This window comes from Homo sapiens, chromosome 11 (assembly GCF_000001405.40).
Source record: "Homo sapiens chromosome 11, GRCh38.p14 Primary Assembly".
Taxonomy (NCBI): Eukaryota; Metazoa; Chordata; class Mammalia; order Primates; family Hominidae; genus Homo; species Homo sapiens.
Genome location: NC_000011.10, coordinates 43,311,360 through 43,337,429, shown reverse-complemented (window position 1 = coordinate 43,337,429; position 26,070 = coordinate 43,311,360). Strand labels below are relative to the sequence as shown.

Genomic DNA, 26,070 nt, shown 5'->3' with positions numbered 1-26,070 from the left:
AGAATTCAACTGTTATAGAAGTAATTTAATGTTACAATTCTCTCACCTTGGAAACAAAATTACAGATATTATATGGTTCAGAATCTACTTTTTTTTTATTTTAAGAGACAGGGTCTTGCTTGGTCACCCAGCTGGAGTGCAGTCGCACCATCATAGCTTACAGTAGCTTTGGCCTCCTGGGCTTCAGCAATCCTCCTGCCTCTTGCCTCCTGAGTAGCTGGGACTATAAGTGCGTGCCACCATACCCAACTAATTTTTAAATTTTCTTTGTAGAAATGGGGTCTCGCTTTGTTCCCCAGGCTGGCCTCGAACTCTTGGGCTCAAGTGATCCTCCCACCTCGGCCTCCGAAAGTGTTGGGTTTACATGTGTGAGCTACCATGCCTGCCTAAACTTTGTCTTTTTTTTTTTTTTTTTTTTTTTTGAGACGGAGTCTTGCTCTGTCGCCTAGGCTGGAGTACAGTGGTGCGATCTCCACTCACTGAAAGCTCCACCTCCCAGGTTCAAACCATTCTCCTGCCTCAGCCTCCAGAGTAGCTGGGACTACAGGCGCCCGCCACCACACCTGGCAAATTTTTGGTATTTTTAGTAGAGACGGGGTTTCACCCTGTTAGCCAGGATGGTCTCGACCTCCTGACCTCGTGATCCGCCTGCCTCGGCCTCCCAAAGTGCTGGGATTACAGGCTTGAGCCACTGCCCCCGGCCTAAACTTTGTCTTCTTAAGCAAGGTAAGGAATTGACCTGATATTTCTCTCCATTCTTTTAAAAAAAAAGATCCATGAGGAAATAAGCCAATGAGAGATAAACTTTACTTTTGATTCGACAGCCGTGGGAGAGGATGGACTGGTATGAAGCTCTCCTGGCTCTAATGGCTAAAGGGGAATAGGAAGCACTGATAGGAGGATTGCATTCTGGGCAGAGGGAGAGACTGCAATAGAACACATCTTCCTTGCTAGATGATGCCTGAACATCTGACTCCACTTCTGTTATTTCTTTTTAACTAGCTACAGAAGATGGGAGTATAGGCAGCAGGCTGACTATGTCCAAGAAAGAGCATTTATACTATCTCTCAGAAGCTATACCCATCCCTGAGGGAGAATGCACAGAATGCCTTGCCTTGAAGCTGCAACTGGGAAAGCATGGAAAGAATGGTTCTGTCAACTTATTTTGTTTCTGTTGGTTCCTCTGAATACAAGAGGCATATTTTTCTTTAAGTGCTTACTGTTTAATGTTGCATGTTCAATACAGTCAGCCCAGAAGGGTGAATGAGAGAGGAATGGGATAAATCATTTCCTCAACAGCCCTAGTTCTCCAAGCTAATTCAGAAAAGTCATTGGATAGAACCATGACACTGTATATAATTACTAATTAAAATAAAGTATAACACAATTTCTGCCTAATCTCTCATATTCCTTGTACCCAAACGGAAACGCTCACCATAATTAAAGTTGCCCAAATTGCTGCTATATTTCCCACTGGGAGGGTTATAAATCTGCCTGGCATCTCTTTTTGGTCCTGCTGAAGATTTCTTGGGTGGTGAACCTGAAGTTGTATCTTCACTGGCTCTCTTTTGCCTGTAACAATAGGAAGAAGAGCAATTCAAAAACATTCTATTAAGCCAAAAGCTATCAATACATTTATAATTTAGCATATCAGTTAGGAAAGACATCCTAAAGAGGATAATCTCATCAGAAAAAAGGAATTAACATTTGATGTCATCAAATTAATTATAGTTTGGTTATGCAGACAATGTCAGAAGGCATTTACAAGCCTTTAAAATAATCTGAAATATGTAGCTTCACAGACTTACATGCAAGTGACTCACTTTACAAAACCTGTCAGAAAAAAATCTAGTTTTGCTACAGGAATACAAGTAAGGCTGAAAGTTCCAGCGTTGCCTCCCACCAGTTTATTTTTACAAATATTGAAATTAGATTTTACATTTTAAGTCATATTTCTAATAGTCATATTTAAACATGCTATTATGAATCATTTAACATTGCACCCTTTTGAACAGTAAATGTAACTCGTATTAAGTTTTGATAACACTTAAATCTCTTTTAAATATATTTCTTACCCAATCTCAACCTTTTGTACAGGTTTCCAGGATAGTGTTACTGTGCTCTTATAAGAAGGAGGAATGTGGAAGAGATCCTGCAGAGACAGAAATCAGGCAAGAATTCTAATGTATTTGTTGGTGGCAGGGAGTGGTGGTGAGGGTAGGAAACGAAGACAGATCTTAAAGATTCAATTTAGGAGACAGAGCTTACTGCAACAGAAAATTAAACAGGAACAATTTTGTTTACAAATCACATGTATTACCTCATTAACATAATTTTGTGCACATAACAAACTGTAGTGTAGCTAATTTTTTTCTAAATGTCAGTATACATTTCAGGATAAAATATATCAATATTTATCCACTTTAATAAACAAAGTCAGCAAATAAGTTTTGTTTCGGTTTGTTTTTGCACAGATGCAGTCACCATGGTGCTTTAAGGAAAATACAATGGTGCAATCTGCATGTGCTTTTGCAAATTTTTAAGTGGTTCAAAATTAGAAAAAAATCTAAAGCTTTACTGCCAGCACCATAGGAAAAGTAAAAACAAACAAACAAAAAAAACCACTAAAACTCTGGCTAATCATGTTTCCCCGTGCCCTATGAAATATCTATAAATTATTAATAAGGCAAAAAAAACCGTGTAAGATTTAAATACCGAGTGATCAAAGTGGTAGGAATGCAAATGTTTGCTGAATGTGTTAAAATAACCTGGAATTCAAATAATCTAACCTGATAATATCCTCACAACTGAATAAATTGCTAAACACATTTATTCTTAGTAATACTCTTACCAGCTTTACCTTGATTTTTTGTATATAGGTAAAATTCAATAAAAGTAAACTTTTCTCCCAGTTAAAATGAGTATACTAATAAAAAATCGTCCCTGGTATATAAACTTAAGTCCAGCGTACTATATAAAGTAGGGAATTGGCCAATGCAACATGCTTTGAATAAAAAATGCTTGAGGTTTCTAACTGGAGTGATTTTGCATATTATAATGTTAACTGAAAAAGGGACCACATGAAGAGGAAACGGCAAATCTTCAATTATAAACATGTTAAATCTCAGAAGACAACAGGAAAATGGCGTATAGTTTGGGGATTCATTAAAATAAAAATGAAGTTGTGAAATTAGATGAGTCTGCCTGGTAGGTAAAGATTGCAAGAAATGTCAAGGATGGATTAAAACATACCTATGTTCTCCCAAAAACAAAAAATTTATCATGTCACATACTTCTACCCAACTTAAAAACATTTCAAGATTTTCAGGTAAGGCACTTGTGATACTATGTAATATATACAGTTTGCCCACTGTGCCCATGGTTCCTGCATCTGTGGATTAAAGCAACTGTGGATGGAAAATATTCAGAAAAAAACTGCATAAAATTCTAAAAAAGCAAAACTTGAATTTACTATGTTGAATCCTCGAGAATGAAGTGATGTGTAGGTACTGTATTAGGTATGTAAAAATAAAATTTCAGGTTCTCCCAAATTTATTACACCAATGGGAAAAGTTAACTCCTGGAAACCGACTCATGGCTGTTTTCTTCTCTGATGCATGACCGTTGCCTTCCTGACCTTTGTGTTGAGATTGCATGAACCAGAGTCTACTCTTTACTTAAACCTAGACTAAATGAGGGAGATAGAGACCACTGTGACTGTTACCTCTTTACAATAAAATGTTAATCCTCTTAGAGTGTAATCAATAGTAGCCAATCATGTATCTATCTGTTAATCAATAGTAGCCAGTCATATATCTATCTGTATTAATGTATTAATAGTAGCCAGTCATATATCTATCTGTATTAATGTAATCTATCTGTATTAATGTAATCAATAGTAGCCAGTCATATATCTATGTTAGCCTTTGTATAGAAAATGTCATTCTTTTTAGCACCTCAGTTTATGCCTGTATCAGTTTTTGCCCATATAAACAATCCTCATTTTTCCCCATACTAGGAGCACTGACCAGCATTCTTTGGTGTAATTCTGCTCCCCAGATGGCCAATCTCACACTTTATACCTAAATAAACTCTTTTAATTGGACCCTGAGACTTTTAATTATTTTAAGTTGATAAGTATGATAAGTAATCTAGAGATGCTTTAAAGTATAGGGGAGGGTTTGTGTAGGTTATACGCAAATACTATGCCATTTAATGAGGGTTAATCTGAGGGTTTTGGTATCCATGGGGGTCCTTCAACCAATCCACTTTGGATACAGAAGGCCTGTATTGACTGCATTTTGGTTTTTGTCCATGATTCCTGGCTCATAGCTCCAATAATTCTTGAAATTTCCTAAGTGACTAGAGCAATATGAATATCTTTTGCTAAAACATTTGGCCCTTTGTTACTGTTTCCTGAAAAGTTCCAGAGCAATAAAGGTGAAAGACAATCTTTTATTTTTAAGAAGCATCTTTCAACCACACCTGAGTTTATATTAATGAGGTGATTTTTGGAAAGTCTCTAGATAACCACAGGATGGGGGAGCTGACTGCCTGGGGAACCAACCACATACTTACAGGGTCGGAACTCAGTCCAACCCCACCTCCAGGGAGGAGAAAGGGGCTGATTTAACACCAATAAAGGTTTATCTATCACTGATGGCCAATGATTTAATCAATCATGCCTATGTAATGGAGCCTCCATAAAAACTGAAAAGGACTCTGTGTGTGTGTGTATATGAGAGTGAGGGGGGTTGGGTGTTCCAGGATGGAATATGAACAAGAACACACCCACGTGCTGGGAGAGTAGTACACCCCAACTCCATAGGGATGGAAACTCCTGCACTCAGGACTCTTCAAGACCCCTCCCTATGTATCTCTTCATCTGGCTGTTCATATGTATCCTTTATAATAAACCAGTAAACATAAGTAAGTGTTTCCCTGAGTTCTATAAGCTGCTCTAGCAATTTAACCAAACCTAAGGTTTGGTTAAATTGTGGGAATCCCCATTTATAGCCAGCCAATCAGAAGCATGGGTAAAACAACTTGGAGCTTGCAACTGTCATCAGAAGTGGTCTTGTGGGACTGGGCCCTCAACATGTGGAATCTGATGCTACCTCTAGGTAGATAGCGTCAGGACTGAATTGGAGGACACCCAGCTAGTATCCACTGCAGAACTATTTACTTACTTGATGTATGGGGAATAACTTCCACCCATCTGGTGTTAGAAGTGCACTGTGAGAGTATAGCAGGAGAAACTGACTTTATTCCTATATTCACAGAGCACTCTACACACAGGTTGCTGACCCTATTCATCTCTCTTTCCCCTATACCTTCCTTTAGATAACTTACAGATTCTTGAAAAGAACATTTTCTCATCTGCATGCAGGTAATAAGCATTTGCTAAGTTTAAAATGTTCTTAACACATTGTATATTCAACATAGACTTGTATCAGCGGTTCAAATAAAGTCAAATCTCACATTTTTATATATGAATTTACTATGCAAAATAATTATTTGTATTTAAGATTTGTAATAAATGGCAGCTATTGGAAACATTTCCTTAGGAGATTAGTATAATATTCTTACCTCTTCTGTGTTTAATGCCTTTTCAGTTTTCTACTTGGCACTATGATACTCCTTCCTCAACATCTAATCACTGCTGCTTTTTCTCAAATGCTTCCCTCTCTCTTCTGATACAAACTGCAGCTGACCCTTGTACAACTTGAATTTGGACTACATGGTCTCACTTATACGCAGATTCTTTCCAATAAAAGTTACACCTAGTGTGCCTGCCTCTCCTTCCACCTCTTTTGCCTGCTACCCCTGAGACAAGACCAACCCCTCCTCTTTCTCCACCTACTAAATGTGAAGACAACAAGGATGAAGACCTTTGTGATAATCCACTTCCACTTAATATTTTCTCTTCTTTATAATAAAACATTTTTTTCCTGCAGCTTTATTGTAATACAGTACATAATACATATAAAAAATGTGTTAATTAACTGTTTATGTTATTGGTAAGGCTTCTTGTCCACAGCAGGCTATTAGCAGTTTTTTAAAATGATTTTTTATAAAGCCAAATTTAGCATTGGCAGGGGGGTTGTATACCAATTTTGGTGATGCTAATGTTAATAAGTTCTGATAACCCACTACCATTGTACCAGCCAGTGGTTGTTTTGGGGGAGTCAAAAGGTATACATGGGGTCCGTATCCCTAAGCCCTTCATTGTTCAAGGGTCAACTATAATTATTCTGTATCATTTTTACATTAGCTTTAAGGCATACTAGTCCCAATTTTTGTTACTGGCAGGCTACTGCTCTAGGTGTTACAAATACTGTTTCTTTTTCCCATCTGGCACAATACAATTAAGCTGTAACTGTATTGTATAATATAATACAAGTGATGGCTACTTTGTGATTTTTTTCTGGTTCTCTCAGGTTATTATTTTTGTTTAGGCTAGCAGATACTTGGGAAGGGTAAACAGAATTGAAAAGTAATTATGGCTTAATGGAAAGGTATACCCTAGCCTACAGTACAGAAAGCTCTCAATTTATTACATAGTCAAGTTTATAAAAAACAAACACAGAAAAACATTTCATTGTGCTACATACCACATGTCCATTCTTAAGAGTAAGCAGAACAGGGATTTACTGGACATTCAAAAGAACCCAACAGCTAATTAAGACCACTAGAACTTAAGTCGCTGAAATTTCTGAGACTGTATCTATCTGTTTCAATGCTTTGAGCCAGAAGAAGTTTGCATGCCTCCCTTTGTTGGAAGTATCTTATGCAAAACTTTTAAATAAATAAATGTATGATTTTATGGTAACTGCAGAAATGTCACTTGGTATTACAGACTTACCTTGATTAAAACATTGATATTGTTTGTTATTTTCAATGCAACGACTTTAATCTTGTTCTACAAAGGGAAAGGAAAATTAAGACAAATTGCCAATAACTTCTATGAGGCATAATCCATTCTGTCATAGAACTAGAGTAATTACACTTCTATCAGAATCACCTCTACAGTCTTTACAGAATTCCTTGGTTTAAATCTATAGATAATGCGTATTCCTATTGCTTGACTCTAAACAAATCTAGATGTAGCAAAGAAAGCAAATAATCTGTGTTCCCTTGACAGGTTAGAATGTAGCTAAAAAATGAGTAAGGTCACATGCACATAGAAGTTGTTTTAAAATAAATCAGTTTAAGTTATAGGAACATAATAAAAATCTAAAATATTTCATTAGGACTGGGATGAAGACTGTTAAATTAGGTGAGATAAGGGAAAATGAAAAACTCCCAACACAAGTCTATATAGTTTGGTATGGAACTAGCAGTTTATGAAATGTGAGCCAGTATTCTTACCTCTTCTGTTTTTAAGGCCTCACCCGTTTTACCCTGGAGAGCTAAGCGAAGTTGTCTGATATAAACTTGCAGGCCCCGTGCAAAGTACTGCAGCCTAAATGAAAATGTATTTGTTAATTAGCAATTCATCACTTCAATTTTGTTTTTAAACTCAATCTTATACTACAGCAAAATGATCCTAAGTGCAGAAATGGTTACATGACCAGTAAATTAAAGAAGAGAATTTTAAGTTGCTTGTTTCTGATTAAGAGCTTCATCAAGTATCAAACTTCTGCCTTACCACACAGTACAGGACAGTAACAGGTAACACATGGCTCAAGCATTTCAAAATTTAAAATGTGAATTTGTTAATGGAACAATTCAATAAGCAGTGTCTTTGTGAAAACTATTTACATTGACTTCTCCAGTGCTGCTTCTCCAGTAACACTAAGGTATTATTAATAACAACAGCTACAGTTTACTAATACCTACTATTTGCCAGGCACCATGCTAAAAGCTGTACATTCATTGTCTTATTAAATTCTTACAACTCTATGAGGTAGGTACTATTATCACTTAACAACTGAGAAAAATTTGGGGGAGCCAAGAGAGGTTAGGGTACCTGCCCAAGATCATAAAACAAGTAGGAAGAGCTAGAGTCCTTTACCCCCCATGGATTTGTTAAGTCATTTCTGTCTTTTAATTTTTTTTAAATTTTACTTTTACTGTTTCTTTTTTCAGAGACATGATCTCATCGCCCAGACAGGAGTGCGGAGGCATGACTGCAGCTGACCGTAACCTCGAGCTCCTGGGCTCAAGTGAGCCTCCCATCTCAGTGTTGCAAGTAGCTGGGACTACTGGTGTGTTACCACACTCCGCTAATTTTTTTAAAGTTATTTTTTATAGAGACAGGATCTTACTATGTTGCCCAGCTGGTCTCAAACTCCTGGTGTCAAGCAACCCTCCTGCCTTGGCCTCCCAAAGTGCTGGGATTACAGACGTGAGCCACCATGCCTGGCTCATTTCTGTCATATGTTTACAAACATGCCCATTTTCTGAACCCTCCAATCTGTATCACTGGGGTAAGGCAGGATGGGGAGCTCTCATAGAACAAAAGCAAAACCCAAGGAACTTCAGGATAGCTACCACCTTTGCCAAGGATTGAGCCACCTCAATCATATATCACCTGATTTTGAAATCTTTGAGCTTTTCTGCATTCAGTTTGGCTGTTAAGAAATCTGGAAGTTTTCGGCCCAACTGGTGAAAACTGTACAACAAACATTCCACATAACTGAACTGTAGCTTGGGTTCTTCATTACCAGCATTCTCTCCATTTTCTGCCTCTTCTGGAGGGAGGGGCATGTATTCCTAAGAGAGAAAAATATACAGATTTTGCAATCTGTTCTACATATTCAAATTATAAACAGATATTCAGGGAATTACAGTGCATGTTTTTAAGGCATGGAGCATTAAAAACTACCAAAACCAGACATTTGGATTTCTTTTTTACTTACTGGATCAATGCTCTAGCCTGTCAACGCTCCATATTAACCTGTTACAGCTGCTGTTACAGCTGCTATTATTAATAATGAAGATTAATGTAGCTATCATTTATTAGGCACTTACAGATAAAGGCACTGATGCTCTGAGAGTTAGGGTAACCTTCCCATGGTAACAAAGTTAATAAACTAAAGAGTCAGAATTCAATCTAGATTTGACATCAAATGCTGATGCTCTTAACAACTATACTATGCTTACTACAAAAATATTTTCTGAACGTAAGTCCATATTGTTTAAGTACTGACTCATTACAAGTGAAGTACTGCCAATGGCATTCAGTATCAGTGCTATAACAACCCAGTAAGTTACATCTGGACGAGTGCCAGATGTTGATGACTCAATTCATGCTAAGGACCTAATGCTTATCACTGTGTTAGTTATACAAATACATCAAATAAGAAAATCACTCAGTGATGCTGATAATGATTTTATCAGATGGCCTATTTTCTCCCTAATTATAAGAAACACCAAGATTAAAACAAAGTAGACAACAACATGTGGCCTAGGAAGCTAACAATACTTATTAGGATTATTGTTTAATTGAAATTTCAAAAACTGGTTCTTGTAATCTAGAAATTAATAATAAATTAGACTTTGAGCTATATACTGACTATCCCATAAGGAAAGGAAAAAGTTCTTACCAATAACTTATCAAATAGTTTCCTTAAATTTGTTTCTAGTTTTTCCATGTCACCACAAAATGAACTCATCTCCGCCAACAATTTCAATACCTAAAACACACAATTCACTATTACTGTTTTTTTGAATAAGCAAGGGTTATGAAATGAGAGTAATTCTAGATAACGATTTAAGACTTTATTTTCAATTATGTTTTCACAGAATCATAACATTTGAAATGGAAGAAAACCTTAGAGATAGATGCAGCCCAACATTTTACTGTGAAGGAAAGTAAAGGTCAGAGATTATGTGACTCGACAAAGTCACAGGGTGTAAGTGGCAGGGCAGACCCTAAAACCCAGATCCCATGATTTCCAATATATCTGTGAGAAGAAGTATGGAAAATAATACATACGACACTTTCTGCTACAGGTTAATGATTGTGCTAATTGCAAGGCAAAAATGATAAATATATTAACTATAAAGACACACTTAGTAAGAACTCTCAACAGCTAAGAACTAATTACTCATGGTTAAGGTGGGCCTCATTTCCTGTTAAATTTAGTCTCTGGATACTTACTCAAAATATTGGTAATGACCACTATTCTCAAGGTTCATTCCTGCATTTCCCAATCCCAGTCTGATGGGCCTAGCCCAGCACATTTGAAGCAAACTACCTTGTCAGTGCACAGTGAGATTCTTCTCTATCCCAAAGACCCATGAGGGAAATGGCACACGCATTTCCATATTTCAGTCCAATTCAATAATCACTATTGGGTGCTTGATTCAAAATCAAGTTTTGTGCCAGATTCTGGGGATACAGAGGTGAATCAGATTAAATGTAGGGAGAGATTATAAACAAATGTAAAGTATTACAGATGCTGTGAAAAAATGTTTACATACATTACAGTTGAGATACAAAGTTGGGAGGGGTAGTGAATTCTATTGAAGAAGGAATAAAGGATATTTTGTGTTAATCCAGTTTAAAATTGGCTCTGTCAGTTATGGATAGAAATGAATGAATTAAACACCTTATTTAAAAATATTAAGGCTACAAAAGTAGAGACTGACTATAATAAAACTACAGGTAAGGCTTTCCCATTGCAGCAAACTTTAATTGAATCCATGAAGCAGTCCTAATGCAATTAATTCTGGTCTAGGGAGATTACTGGCTGGCCATTACCAGACATTTAAACTGCTCCCTTAGAAATCGGATCTAAGTTAGTGGTTTACATTTTTGTTAAAATATAAGAATGCCTTATCAGTGCTAAAGCTGAAATTTTTGCTTACCTCCAACTGTATATCAAGACCTTCCACTGGGGTAGTCAAGGTACCGAGGTTAGGGAGAACCTGCTCACAGAAATATGTCACAAACCTTGTGGAATGGACATTTTTCTGTAAGAAATCCAAAGAAAATGCATTGTCGAAAAACAAATATTCGCTCAAATATTATAGCAGAATTTCATTCAATAAATGCTGAGCGCTACAGCATCAAGTATTCTGACTACAAATACGATATAGTGCACACCCCAGCATGCCCCAGATATAACCTCAATAGGTGATCTACGAAGGGGCTTCAATAAGTTCATGGAAAAATGGAATAAAAAGATAAAGAATAAAAAATATAAACTTTATTTATCAACATAAGCTCCATCAAGGTCAAGACACTTTTGCAGGTAATGATACCAGTCATCTCTGAACAACTGAGGGTCCTGGGAACTTAACCATGTCAATGCAGTCTTTTTTATACTATTAACCAAAGAAATGTGGGTGCCCTTTAAAGATGTTTTTTAAGATTAGGCAACAAAAAGAAATCAGAAGGGCCCAAATAAGGACTTTAAGGTGGATGCCTAATGATTCCTCATCAAAACTCTTAAAAAATTGTCCCTGTTTGATGAGAGGAATGAGCAGGAGCACTGTGGCGGTGGAGAACTCTGGTGATGCTTTCCTAGGCGTTTTCCTGCTCAATCTTTGGCCAACTTTCTCAAAACAAGCTCATAATAAGCAGACATTATTCTTTAGCCCTCCAGAATGTCAACCAGCAAAATGTCTTGAGCATCCCAAAAAACTGCCATAGCCCTTCCTCTTAACTGGTCTCTTTTTGCTTGGACTGGGCCCTTTTCACTTCCTGGCAGCCATTGCTTTGACTGTGTTTTGTCTTCAGAATTGCACTGCTAAAGCCATGTTTCACCTCCTGTTCCCATTCTTCAAAGACATGCTTCAGGATCTTGATCCCACTTGTTTACAATTTCCACTGAAAGCTCTGTTCTTGTCTGCAGCTAATCTGAGTGCAATGGTTTTGACACTCATCAGTAGGAAGTTTGTTAAACTTCAATTTTTCAGTCGGAATTGAATAAGCTGAACCAACTGAGATATCGATGATGTTGGCTATTGTTTCTGCTATTAATCATCGGTCTTCTTCATTTAGGGCATAAACAAGATTAAATTTTTCCTCGCAAATTGATCTGCTGCAATGGGCTTTGACGTTGTCTTGTCCCTTCTTAAAATGAGTGATCCATTTGTAAACTGTTGATTTCTTTGGGGACATTGTCTCCATAAACTTTTCATAAAGCATCAATGATTTCACTATTCTTCCACCAAGCTTCACCATAAATTCGATATTTGTTCTTGCTTCAACTTTAGCAGAATTCATGTTGCTCTGATAGGTGCTCTTTTCAAACTGATGTCTGACCCTTCTTAGTTCCTCAAACTATATCCTGTTCAGACATGTTATAAGTACAAGTTTATTTTGGTGAAAAATGTTTTGTAATCCATGCGTAGTTTTTTTTTTTTCTTTCATAATATGCATTTTCCAGGAACTTTTTGAAGACCCCTTATATACTTTACTGCAAAGTCATCTGGAGCATTGGAACATCTATACATTTTGATCTCTTCCTTGATTCTCTGGTCAAATTTGGGGCATGGCCAGGCATGGTGGCTCATGCCTGTAATCCTAGCACTTTGGGAGGCTGAGGCAGGTGGATTGCCTGAACTCAGGAGTGCGAGAGCAGCCTGGGCAACATGGCAAAACCCCATCCCTACTAAAAATACAAAAAATCAGCTGGGTGTGGTGGTGCTTGCCTGTAATCCCAGCTACTCGGGAAGTTGAGGCACGAGAATTGCTTGAATCTGGGAGGTGGAGGTTGCAGTCAGCCAAGATCATGCCACTGCACTCCAGCCTGGGGGATGGAGCGAGACTCTGTCTCATAAATAAATAAATAAATAAATAAATGAATTGTGGACATCTTTTAGTGTTGGATTTTCAGACTGCACATTTCTCAAAAGGGATAATTCTATTACTTAATTTTTTTTGTAGAGACAAGGTCTTGCTCTGTTGCCCAGGCTGGTCTTGAACTCAGCCTCAAGTGATACTCCCACCTTGGCTCACAAAGTGCTGGGATTGGGATTACAGGGACGGGCCACCACGCCTGCTCTAGGATAGTTCCTTTAAATTGTGTTTTTCAAATGAATGTATGCACATCCCAGAAGATGCATGGCCTCAGGAAACACAAAGCCTGAGACAGAATGCAAAATTCTCATGACTTTCAAAAAAAGTCTCTAGGAAGACTTAAAAAAAATTTATTGGCCACTCATGGTGGCTCACACCTGTAATCCCAGCACTTTGGGAGGCCAAGGTGGGCAGACTGCTTCAGCTCAGGAGTTCAAGACTAGTATGGGCAACATGGGGAAGCCCCGTCTCTACAAAAAACACAAAAATTAGCCGAGTGTGATAGTGCATGACTGTAGTAGCAGCTACTTGGGAGGCTGAGATGGAAGGAAGGCTTGAGCCTGGGAGGTAGAAGCTGCAGTAAGCCAAGATCGTGCCACTGCACTCCAGCATGAGTGACAGGGCAAGACTCTGTCTCAAAGGAAAAAAAAAATTCTTTCTTTCAAGAAAGTTTCTTGCTGCTTTGGGTTCTCACCAACACCACTGTGGCCTTCATAAACACAGACCAAGCATCCCTCATCTGAAAATCCCAAATCTGAAATGCTTCAAAATCCAAAACTTTTTGAGCACCAATGTGATGCTCAAACATCACGCTCAAAGGAAATGCTCATTAAAGCATTTCAGGTTTTGGATTTTTGAATTAGGGATGCTCAACCAGGCACAATGCAAATATTCAAAAATCTGAATACACTTCTGGTTCCAAGCAAGCATTTCAGATAAGGGACACTACTGGAAAGGTTTAAGGGGAATGTTAAAGTGAGTATTTATGGAAATATATATATAGCTAATACCGGGTGTGTAAAAATAAAGAGCTCACAGAGAAGAGGGGTACTGCCTGCCGAGTGCACTGTAAGAGCCTGTCCACACAGTCAGGATCCGAGGGATTGAAGGTCTGTTCTAGGTCGGCCTGTTCAGCCACCAACTCTACAAGTTGCTGTCTTCCACTCACTGTCTGTAAGCTTTTTAACCCAGACAGTATCTTCATAAATAGAACAAATTCTTCACCAGTCACATCTTCTAGGACCTGGAAAAGAGACAATTCAGAATAAGAGTATGTTCATCATTTGAATGGGACAGATCAACACTGAAAGAGAATAGCTAATTTATTTCAGTTACTAAAGTCAGTTTGTTATTAATGCTTCCAAAATACTGACGAAAAGGCAACTTCTAGCTTCAGTCAATTGAGCTTCAGTGTAAACCACGCATTCTCCAAGGGGGCAAAAATTGGTTCTTAGAAAATGTTACTTTTTTACGTACAAAGCACAGATATACATGTAGTACCATAAACAGATATACAGTGTATATGTGGCATTAAAATTTCATGGGAGAGCAGTTAAGAAAAAAAAAAAATTAAAAAAATTGGCTATTTAGGGGAGTGACTTTAAAAAATGGTTGGAAAAATTCTGTAGCAAACTGTTGAATCAGATTGTATCCTATATTTAAAAGCAGCCTAATTCATATTAATATGGTAATTGTTGTATACAAAATAGGTCACCTTGCAAGTCTCATGTTAAATCTTCCATATCAGTGGGTCTAAATCTTTCTATTCATGGACCAAAAAAGCTCACAATCACGACATACTCTACCAGATTACAAGCTGGGGCATAGGTAAAATAGTCTGATACTCCCAGCTAAAGATCTACTTTTTTCTCACTGAAAAATAATCTTATCAATAAGGAAGTGGGTAGTAGTAGTCTGAAATTTCTAAAGCCTGAACCATAACAGTGATCACATGCTTTAGATAAAATGCTGAATCTTCTGTAACATATTAAAAAAGTAAACTATTCCCAAACTTTGGCACATTAAGATGAGTGAAAAGTTAATTGTGACGCACCTTGCCAATCTTAGCGTCTACAACTATGCTAGATGCTGGGAGCAAAGACAAGCATGGTCTCACCCTTGAAGAGCAGATAGTGTCAAGGGCTAAGGTGACAACAGGTCATTTTGATGTGATGTTTCATTTTGAAATAATTTAGAATACTATGAGAGAGTATCCTAAAATGGAAGGGAGGGGTAGGACTTAGGGAAAGTTTCCTGAAGGAGGTGATTTGCAGAGGTTGCACAAATTTTAAGGACACTACCACGAAAAGTTTAAATGTAATCAGATTCCTTTAAATTACCAAATTGATTCATCATTACCACCGACAAAAGTGCTAAATTCAATCTAAGAAAAACTTAGAAGTTCTATGGTGGTTCCAATGGGATATATGATATATCATTTTATACACAAGCCACACATAACATTGACGAATACTGCCAATGTCAAGTATGCTCTTTTGCTTTAGAGAATTTCCACCAAATGAAGACCAAAGCTCACCTTTTTGGATTCAGTTAGTATAAGCTCTTCCACTTCCTTTGTTAAGACTTCATCTGGTAAAGTCTTAAGTTTTGTAGAAAGGAATTTAATTGCTCGTTCTCTAACAATGTCCTCTCCTTGAAGTATTTGGCTGAACAACCCACCTAAAGTCCCTGCAAAACAAAATAGTTGCCTGTAGCAAGTCAATTCTATAGTGTAATGGTGTTTTCCCATTTAACTCAATTTATAGTATTTCTTCTCAAATAAGTTAATGAACTTCCCAAATATCATCCTCATTACTAGTTAAAAGTAGTCTGAAATTTCTACAGCCTGAACCATAAGAGTGCTTTCTTCATGAAGACATAGTCAGCTTAAGCATGACTTTCCTTTTTTATCATTACTAATAATAAAACCCAGGTATTTTGGAAGAATTTCTTGAAAGTGTCAAAAGGAGTTCTTCCAACAGATTTCTAATGGAAAAACGTGATCTGTTTTTGCAGTTATTTCTGCTCGTTTTTCTAGTCATAAACATCTTGACCTAAGGAGACTTTTTTCACAATACTTAGAATTTTTATGAAATAGAACTCTGGGTAAACCCTAGAGTTTATTCTTAATGAGTAACACCTAACTTTGTGATTCTGTAAGACATCAAACACAATTCAGAATAAGAACTGGCCTTACCTTTTGCATCCATTTTAAATATACTTAATAGGGCATTGTTCACTAGGTTAAATTCTGCAGAGTCATCTGGATAAAGAAAAAGTGGCATAATGAATATAAAACAAATTTAAAATATCATCTGCTTCAGTTTCAAACTTGATTCAACTTAGTTTCTCAAGGTTACATTGACAGGAAACTTATAACTTAAGCCATTCCCTCAAGTACCAAAAAGATACGTGTTCCTTGTAAGTTGAGAACCCGATCTGGCATGCCTGAAAAACTTTTATTAAGATGCTACAATTATGAAACTACAGGAAATTGGGGGAAAAATTATGATATATCAAAATGCCCAAAAGAATCTAGTCATTACACCTTCATAACGGAATTAAAAACAAAACAACACCAGGAATTAGATAACCAGAAATCATTACACTTTAACTACTGAATGAAAGTAGGAAATTTAATCTCTATCAGAGGTAGGACCTCCAGCTCTCCTGCACCCCATTTAAAACCTAAAAACAGAGTCAACATTTCAGAAAGAAGATATATATTTAGAGAAAAAGGTAATAATAAAATCCCTTACCTGTCTGCAAAAGTTGCGTTAGTATATCTGCCACTCGAGGAAGATTTTCTCCAGTGGCAAATTGAGGCAGTTCTTTAATTGCTTGACGTCGAATCTGGGCATGATTTCAAACAAAAATTAACCAAATACTATCACCTTTAAAATAACAAACAGCTTTTTCTTTTCTTTCTTTTTTTTTTTTTTAAAGACAAGGTATTGCTCTGTTGCCCAGGTTGGAGTGCAGTGGTGCAACCATGGCTCAATGTAGCCTTGACCTTCTAGGCTCAAGAGAGCCTCTTGCCTTAGCCTCCCTAGTAGCTAGGACTATAGACGCAAGCCTCCACGCCTGGCTAATTTTAAAGGCGGATTTCCCTATGTTGCCCAGGCTGTTCTCGAACTACTGGGCTCAAGTGATCTTCCCACCTCAGCCTCCCAAAGTGTTGGGATTACAGGCATGAGTCACCATGCCCAGCTGCAAACTCAACTTTTTAAGAAAACTAAAACCACAGAGAAGCCATCATTAGGGGCATACGAGTCACAAAAATATGAAACAGCAGATTTCTAGCAGTTTTAAAAAGAATTTGCTCCAATTGGCCGGGCGTGGTGGCTCACACCTGTAATCCCAGCACTTTGGGAGGCTGAAGCAGGTGGATCACGAGGTCAGGAGTTTGAGACCAGCCTTGCCAATATGGTGAAACCCTGTCCGTACTAAAAATACAAAAATTAGCCAGGCGTGGTGGCACACGCCTATAGTCCCAGCTACTTGGGAGGCTAAGACAGAAGAATCGCTTGAACCAGGGAGGCGGAGGTTGCAGTGAGCCAAGATTGCACCACCGCACTCCAGCCTGGCCAATAGAGTAAGGCTCCTTCTCAAAAAAAAAAAAAAAAAAAAAGAGAGAATTTGCTCCAATTTAATCTTCAAGTTACACAGAATAAAATATAAAAAGGGATGTTAACAATGTCTCGCTGAAGGAGACAGATTTGAGATTATAAACAACTATTTACATGCTAATTATATGCAACTGTTAGGTTTTTACTACCTATGGGCTTATAATATAGTATTCCTAAAAAATGGCTACTGTGGCAATGTTATACCTAGTAACTGTTTACTTTAGAATTTTCAGTATTGACTACTAAATACAACATTTGTGGCTATATTCTGCATGTTTAATTCCAAATACTGATCTTGGCTTATTCGATTTTTACATAAAATATGTACAGCGGGCCAGATGAGGTGGCTCACGCCTGTAATCCCAATGCTTCAGAAGGCCAAGGTGGGAGGATAGCTTGAGGCCAGGAGTTTGAGACCAGCCTGGACAACATGGCAAGACCCTACAAAAAAATTAAAAATCAGCTGGGAACGGTGGTCTGTGCTGCTTGGGAGGCTAAAGTGGAAAAAAATGCATGAACCCAGGAGTTCAAGGCTGCAGTGAGCTATGGATGTGCAACTGCACTCTGGTCTAGGCAACAGAGTGAAACCCTGTTTCTATTAAAAAAGCAAAAAAAGTATAGGGTTTATATCCAGCAAATTCTGCATGAAATGTTGGCAATTCGCTGTTTCATCTGAAAAGACAAGAGCTAACGGCTGAATATTCTTAGGAACCTGTGTCAGCAGCCAGAAATATTACTGGTTAATTCTGTTCCAAAAAACCCCCCAAAAACCAAAAAACAAAAACTATTTCTTTTTAATCTAGTAATCCTATTCACTTATTACACATACCATTTTTCTGCCATGCAAAATATATAAGGGTAGTGAAACTACATTTTATGATATAACACTTAATAATTTAAATATCCAAGTAAGCACAAATTGATTAAAAACAGTCTAATTTCATATGCACAATGAATAACAATCTATGAAACAAGATGTGAGCCACAACCCATTTTTAACAGTGGATAAATGATAAGCGAAACTAAGTATTTTGAGATTCTATGCATTTTTCATAATTTAAAGGTGTTGAAAAAGGCTAATACACTTTATCATATGTAAATTTAAGCCTGGGTGTGATGCCATGCCAGACCATACCATAGTATTTTATTGTGTACTCTGATATATCAGATTGCTACTCCAATTGTATCAGCCACATACAGAAACATCTGAAAGATTGCTATGAAGTGTCATTCATAAACTTACAGATACATCTTCATCCTCACAGAGGTCTAACTGTGCATTGATAGCAGAATCAGCCAATTCTGGAAAATGCTTAAAGAATTTCGGAATAAATTGAGCTGCTAATCGCTTTTCCTTAGTACCACCTTTCACACCATCCAATATCACTTGATAGGCATCTTTATGCTGAAATAAAAAATAAAGCAGGAAAGACACATGATTTTGAAGGATGGGAAGCAAAGTAAAAGACCATAACAAACATGTTAGAGTGTGCTTTAAATTTTTACACAGGCTAAGAAATAAAGCTGATTTTGGGAGGTTTACTGCTCAAACTGACACTTACCTTCCCAATTCCGTTCTCCCTCCATCTTTGTTTCATTTTTGAGTTGGGGGAGATGGATGAGTCTAATTTTAAGTGGAAAAAGCAAATGTGTTTGTTAATATGCCAATACTTCTTCATTCTAGTGATTATTAACTCTGGCCATGTGACTGTATCATGCTTAAAAAATTTGTAATGGGCCAGGCGTGGTGGCTCACGCCTGTAATCCCAGCACCTTGGGAGGCCAAGGTGGGTGGATCACCTGAGGTCAGGAGTTCAAGACTAGCTTGGCCAACATGGTTAAACCCCGTCTCTACTAAAACACAAAAATTAGCCAGGCGTGGTGGTGTGCGCCTGTAATCCCGGCTACTCGGGAGGCTGAGGCAGGAGAATTGCTTGAGTCCGGGAAGCGGAGGTTGCAGTGAGCTGAGATCGTACTACTGCACTCCAGCCTGGATGACAGAGTGAGACTCTGTCTCCAAAAAACAAAACAAAACAAAACAAACAAACAAACAAAACAATTGTAATGATGGCCAGGTGTGGTGGCTCATGCCTGTAATCTCAACACTTTGGGAGGCCGAGGTGGGCAATCACTTGAGCTCAGGAGTTCCAGACCAGCCTGCCCAACATGGTGAAACTCCCTCTCTCTAAAAATACAAAAATTAACTGGGTGTGGTGGCAGACATTTGTAATCCCAGCTCCTCAGGAGGCTGAGGCAGGAGAATCGCTTGAACCCAGGAGGCAGAGGTTGCACTGAGCTGAGATCGCACCACTGCATTCCAGATTGGGTGACAGAATGAGACTCTATCTTAAACAAGTAAATAAATAAATCATCATGAATACCATAGAATTCACAAAGAATTGCACTGTATTTACTTAAACAAAAATTTACCTGTTTCTAATTAGCACCTTGAAGAAGGTGAAGGGAATACATTCCAGAAATTTAGCAATTCCAGCAATGTTAGGAAGTGCAGTTTAATTTTACCTCATAGCAGTATATGAAAGCCATGACAATTCACTCCATATAGCCAGACAATTTTGGATTAAGACGGACTCTAATGTCACATGTTTAAACCTTTTATTGGAACAATACACTCAAAGCTCATGTTTCCTTAAAAAAAAAAATCACAGGTGCTCTCCCTCAAATACTCATAATGGGAGGAATCAATAAGTTCCCAATCCTCCTTAAGTACTTGCCTCCAAACCAGTCCTTTTATGAAATGACACTGATAAAGATGGTAAATAACAGTAACAAATACAGAAAGACTACACATATATATTGTTTGGACATATGAATAAAACTTAGTAACTGGAAAAACAACTTAAAAATTATAATCTTGACCAAACATATACACAGTATAGTATTTATTATGTATAAGGAGTGTTCTAAGTGCTTTAGACACATGAGCTTACTTCATGCCATCAAGCGGGGAATGACCAATAAATATCCAATGAACTACAGAATTACCAAATTTATTTTACAGTGATTCTTTTTTGTTGATAATGCTATGTTAAGTGAAAAAATAAAGCAGGATGCAAAGTTACAGAACAACTCCCAAATAACAGAAATTTCTGTGAATAAGGTTAACTTCTTCATGAAATGCAGATATATGAGTCTTCAGGAGTCATCACTGAAAAGTGTATTATAAACACATCAAGACCCTGTCTCTCCAAAAAATATAAAATTAACCAGGCATGGTGGTGTGTGCTTGCAGTCCCAGCTACTGGAGAGGCTGAGGGAGGAGAATCACTTGAGCCCAGGCGATAAAGGCTGTGGTAAGCCATGGTCGCGCCCAGGAGTTAGAGGCTGTGGTAAGCTGTGGTCGCGCCACTGCACTCCAGCCTGACAGAGCAAGACCCTGTCTCAAAGAAAGAAAGGTATATGACATACTTTTCACCGCAAACATTAAAAAAAGAAATCATGCTGACTTCTCTACCACTTTACATTCCTGTGGTTTGCCTCAGACTTCTAGGCAGGCTTCATAAAATCAAAGTTTGTTCTGACACCCTTACTTTTTGCAGGGTATCACAAATCTAATTTTCTTTAACTCAAACTTACTCATAAAGCCATTTGAAGAAACTCCTTACACTGTCCAAAATTAAATGAAAAAAAAAAAACCCTGCTTAAAACAAAACTTCCTTTTGCCAAGAAAAAAATATTAAATCTGGAATCAAATAAAAAGGAATCATTAACAATATTTATTGAAGGTCTACCAGGGACTGAGTGATTCCTTGTCTATATCACAATAGGTGTTACTACTATTCTTATCTTTTAGATGAGGAAACTAGGGCTCAGAGAAGTGAAATAAATATTTCCACATATTTTTGAGGGATTACGAACTTGGTTGGTCAGTGGTTTTAGCTTAATCATACAAAAAACCCTACTACAAGAGTGGTTATTTCATGAAATAAAAGTCCAAGAAGCCTACACGCCAACCCTGCAAAGCTAGTATACTCAATGATTGAGAGAACAGGAGGAATCAGGGTTTCAGCATTATACAGATCTAATCAGCCCCACTGCCATGGTCCTTTAACAGGTGTCGGATACATTTTTTAACTTTTAAGATTTTGACTACATAATATAAAATTAAGTATCTATATTTAAAGTAAGTAAATTCATAATAATTTGAAACAGAATTTTAAATAATGGTGGGCCACAGCTTGCTCTATTATGGCTAGTCAGGAGCCCTGGGCAGAGTACAGTGGAAAAGGAGATCAGAAAGGTAAAGGAGCACACAAGAGAAGAGTGAGACCTGAAGGAGTAGCAGAGGCAGAGTGGGGGAAAGGCAGGATGAACGCATAGGCAGAACATGGCAGTTACATGAGAAGATGATAGGACTGGAAGATTTGAGGTATTAAATAATTCTGCACTTAGAATTTGTCATCTGCAGTTTGCTTATTAGAATATACATGCTCATATATGTATGTATGTGTGTGTGTATGATAAAGTTCCCTTTATCCATTAGAGATAATCTGTGTAAATGGTTTTTCTTTTCTTTTGTAAATGGTTTCTCTGTTCCTTCTTCCAATACATTTCTTCAACTATGAAAAAGAAATGCTTACTGAAGGGCAAGGTACAGTGCAAGAAGAGAAGCAATAAATAAATAAATAAATAAATACATAAAAGGATTTAACCCTTGAGACGTTATAATTTAAGTACAGAAATAAATAAAATAAAATACAAGTCTGAAGCATTATTAGTAAGTACATCGTACCAAGGGGTTCAAAAAGAGGATTTGATCTGCTTTGGGGAAATTAGCCGATAAAACCTCAGACGGCTTGTAAGTTTACCCTTATATATTTAGAAGGCACTACTCTGAAAGGAGTATTGACAATAATGGGGAGGGAATAGTCTGTAGTGGCAGCAATCAGAACACCTGTAGTGCTCACCTCTCTGGTAAAGGTTGATAATCAAAGTAAAAGTTAGAAGGAAGTCAAGACTGACAAACTTGAATGCAGTCTCAGAAGTATCCAGACAGGTATTTGCCAGGAAACTTAGTACTGATCATAAATCTCTCATAAGTTGACATGAAAATCAGGCTTTGCTACATCAAGAACATGAACACGGTTTTCTCTCCTTAAAAACAAGTGAAATGGTGTCCTCTCTACTAAGGTGGCTTTTGCCTTTGTTAGTTAAAATTACAAGCAATATCCTAAAACCTACTGTCTTTTTTAGTAAGTGATTTTAGGCATTTTATCTAAAAGGGGAGAAGTATAACCCAACAGAGCAGAATTAGTAGGCATTATCTTCGGTTTTCCTACAATTCACAATATTTGAGCTGCCTGAGCTAACCACTACATCTCATTATGCAGAGATACTGTTTAAATAGTTGCTTGACAGTTGTCAATACAGAACGCATTGATCACCCATAACCTACAGAGAATTGTGTTAAATTTCAGTGTCCAGCCGGGTGTGTGGTACATGGTAGGTGAAATGTACGGAATAAAGCATGGAGTCCTCATTAAAGTGTAGACAAAGGTATCCTTTTTCATTTTTCACAAACTTGTCTCTAAAGTACCCTTACTAAATAAAGAGTAGATTTTTGCTGTGAAAGACATTTTGACCCCTTGGGGAGAACTCTCAATTCAATCTGGTTTTTATAAAGATGACATGAGAAGGAAATGCAAGCAACTCTCAAAATTAGAGTAGGGGATGGACAGCATTATGTATACGGTTTCAAAGGTTTCTTAGAAGGATTCCTGACACAACCACTGTTGTAGCTTTCACCCTATCCCCCTACTGATATGCAACAAAGTCTAACGTAGGTAGAACAATTTGCTACAAAGTTACCCAACTAAGTCACAGATAAATTATACGATTGAGAATATCTTCACTACTAGTTCTTTTTAGGAACAACAAATTCAAACTGATTGACCACACATAGTTTGTATCTTTTTTTTTTTTTAATTTTTTGTTTGAGATGGAGTCTTGCTCTGTTGCCCAGGCTGGAGTGCAGTGGCCCGATATCAGCTCACAGGAACCTCCACCCTCCGGGTTCAAGCAATTGTCCTGCCTCAGCCTCCCAAATAGCTGGGACTTCAGGCGCATGCCACCACGCCTGGCTAATTTTTGTATTTTTAGTAGAGATGGGGGTTCACCATGTTGGCCAGGCTGGTCTCGAACTCCTGATCTCAACTGATCTGCCCATCCACGCCCCTTAAAGAATTGGGATTACAGGCGTGAGCCACCGTGCCTGGCAGTTTTTACCTTCTTAATGAACAGAATATTCCTCCTTCACAACCGACCTACACACTCTATCCACATGTACAGCAGAACATCCGTATACATTTCTTACTGATAAAAGTGAAATTCCCTACTGACAGGGAATGAAGGAAAAAAAATCATTTGCTATTTCAAACTGGTATATTCTTAATTCTAGATTAAGCTACAATAAATCTCCAACATGAAATTTTTTTTTTTTCGTTCAGCTCAGAAAAGTCCTATTTGAATTATGTTAAGAAAAGGGGACGGGAAAGGTACTCCCACGACTGTTAATAGACTAGAATCTTCCACTTTCTCCAAGAAGGGATGCGTAAGCAGAAAAATCACAAAGTTCTAAGCGCTGAAAAGCTATGGTGTGGGATTTCTAAAACAATGATCAAGGTTACCTCCAGGAGAGCCTGGTTCTTTTCCCAAGAACACACATACCCAACCACTTATCAAGTTCAATGTACTCCAGTACTTGAAAACTCATACAGGGAACAAATGACTTGTATGGATAATTCAACACTGCTGAGAAACTGTGTATCGGGGGCAAGCATCGTTAAGAGAGCTCTTCCAGACAACTCCATTCAGAGCTGCGCACTCACACTCTCCTTCGCCCAGCCCTGTTTTATTTTCTTCAAACATGTTTCATTAAAAAGAATAAATTTTTAAAAAAAACCTTTTTTTTTTTTTTTGAGACGGGGTCTTGCTTTGTCTCCCAGGCTGGAGTGCAGTGAAGCGATCTCGGCTCACCGCAACCTCTGCCTCCCGGGTTCAAGCAATCCTCCCACCTCAGCCTCCTGAGTAGCTAGGATTACAAGCGCGTGTCACCACGCCCGGCTAATTTTTGTATTTTTAGTAGAGACAGGGTTTCACCATGTGGGTCAGGCTGGTCTCGAACTCCTGACCTCGTGATCCGCCCGCCTCGGCCTCCCAAAGTGCTCGGATTACAGGCGTGAGCCACCAAGCCGGGCCTCACAATGCCTATCTTTCTTACTACACTCCCTCCTAACTGTACATTCTGGGAGAGCGCGGACCTTTCCATCTGTATCTCCAGCGCTCGGCACTCAAAAAAATGCACTGAATAAATGAAACCGTGAGCTCTCATCAAAGTCTGGACCAAAGAGTCCCTCTTCTGTTTCTCACAAACTTCTGTCTCCTAAACACTCTTCTTCAATTAGTAGCAGAATTTTGCCTCCCCCCCAAAAAAAACACATCTTGACCTCATGAAGAAAACTCCCGATCTAATCTTGGAAGCACTGAGCTCCACCGAAAAGGAGAAAGGCTTAAGAGAATCCTGTAGAGAAAAGCTCCGTGAGAAGAATTAACGTGAGCCTGAACGGGCTGAGTTAGGTTACGCCACGGTGAGAAAAGGCTGGGCAAGGGAGGCAAGGAAGCCTGGAACCCTGGGGACCGCGGTCTCCCTGGTGAAACCAGAGTCTACACTCCCAGAGAGGCCCACCCCGACGAGACGGCCTGAGGAGGCTAGGAGGCCCCGGGAGGATGAAGCCGCAGCCCCCGCTCGGCCCGGGGAGTGCGGCGGGAAGCGCTTTCGAAAGGCCGCGGAGCGCCAGGCCCTGCAGGCCGCCCGGGGACTCAACTCACCTGGCCCACTTGCTCCGTGGCATCGGCCAGGATGCCATAATTGCGGTAAAGCTCCTCTACTGTCGGCATGGTGAGCGACAAGCCCAGGGCCCGGTTCCGCTATCCTTGTCCTGACCGGCGCCACCGCCGCCTCGGAACTTCTCCAAACCCACTACCCGCACTATTACACCTCCAGCTGCCGCCAGTGCAGCCGCCAGTCACCGCGCACAGCGCGGCTGCGCCCCCGACGTCTACGTAAAGACGCGCACGTCGGGAGCGGCCTTCAGTAGACACCCCCCACCCCAATGCGCCTCCGCGGTTTTTGTCGCCCTCTACAGCCTGGAGGAGCAAAAAAGCGGCAAGGATGATTGAATTAGCTCACGCCTTTTTGAAAGCTTGAGCTTGGCTGCAGGCTCTCCATGGAAGGGGTGTGGGTGGGCGGGGAAGTGAATACAAAGACAATTGCGTTTCTGCCCTTAGAAGATCTTACATATGAGAAGTCACAAATGGTTTCCTCCTGATTCAAGGAAGGTAATATTAATCGGTGGCACTAGAGGCTAGTGGGTCCGGTGGGAAGCAAAAAACATTCCTATGCTATTAAAAAACCCTCTGTGTCCACCACGCTCATCAAGTGCGGGGTCAAATTTGGCCTGCTGGAAGAATTTGCTTATCTTTGCTGCCAGTGTAAAGAATTGGGGCCACCTGATTATGTCCAGTATCCAAAAGAATAATAAATAAATGAAATCACGTACGCTTACTGATAAGAATTTCTAAGATACAAGTTTAAATGAAATTATATATATAATATGATATAATATATAATATTTTATATATTATATAATATATAACATTATATAT

General features: G+C 38.6%; 1 protein-coding gene across 6 annotated transcripts in view, besides 1 other annotated feature; it reads right to left on the bottom strand.

Moving 5' to 3' along the window:
* API5 (apoptosis inhibitor 5) overlaps positions 1 to 25,434 on the bottom strand; it is a 32,534-nt gene extending 7,100 nt beyond the window's left edge. For 3 of the 6 annotated variants that reach the window (XM_006718359.5, NM_001142930.2, NM_006595.4), the window contains exons 1-13: positions 25,234 to 25,434; positions 18,629 to 18,790; positions 16,516 to 16,609; positions 15,954 to 16,019; positions 15,294 to 15,445; positions 13,794 to 14,000; positions 10,819 to 10,923; positions 9,552 to 9,641; positions 8,537 to 8,718; positions 7,372 to 7,465; positions 6,866 to 6,922; positions 2,076 to 2,152; positions 1,436 to 1,572 (exon numbers count right to left, since the gene is read on the bottom strand). In XM_006718359.5, coding sequence (XP_006718422.1) covers positions 1,436 to 1,572; positions 2,076 to 2,152; positions 6,866 to 6,922; positions 7,372 to 7,465; positions 8,537 to 8,718; positions 9,552 to 9,641; positions 10,819 to 10,923; positions 13,794 to 14,000; positions 15,294 to 15,445; positions 15,954 to 16,019; positions 16,516 to 16,609; positions 18,629 to 18,790; positions 25,234 to 25,302 — 1,492 coding nt within the window. In that variant the 5' untranslated portion in view covers positions 25,303 to 25,434. Of the gene's footprint in view, positions 1 to 1,435; positions 1,573 to 2,075; positions 2,153 to 6,865; positions 6,923 to 7,371; positions 7,466 to 8,536; positions 8,719 to 9,551; positions 9,642 to 10,818; positions 10,924 to 13,793; positions 14,001 to 15,293; positions 15,446 to 15,953; positions 16,020 to 16,515; positions 16,610 to 18,628; positions 18,791 to 18,947; positions 19,010 to 25,233 lie in introns of all 6 variants that reach the window. The other 3 variants (NR_024625.2, NM_001142931.2, NM_001243747.2) reach the window with 3 other exon arrangements.
* Positions 24,906 to 25,681: an enhancer, noted in NCBI's record as "H3K27ac hESC enhancer chr11:43333299-43334074 (GRCh37/hg19 assembly coordinates)". NCBI's record gives its function as "activates a minimal SCP1, AML or CMV promoter by ChIP-STARR-seq in naive H9 embryonic stem cells {active_cell/tissue: H9 hESC(naive)}" and the evidence as "EXISTENCE:reporter gene assay evidence [ECO:0000049][PMID:30033119]".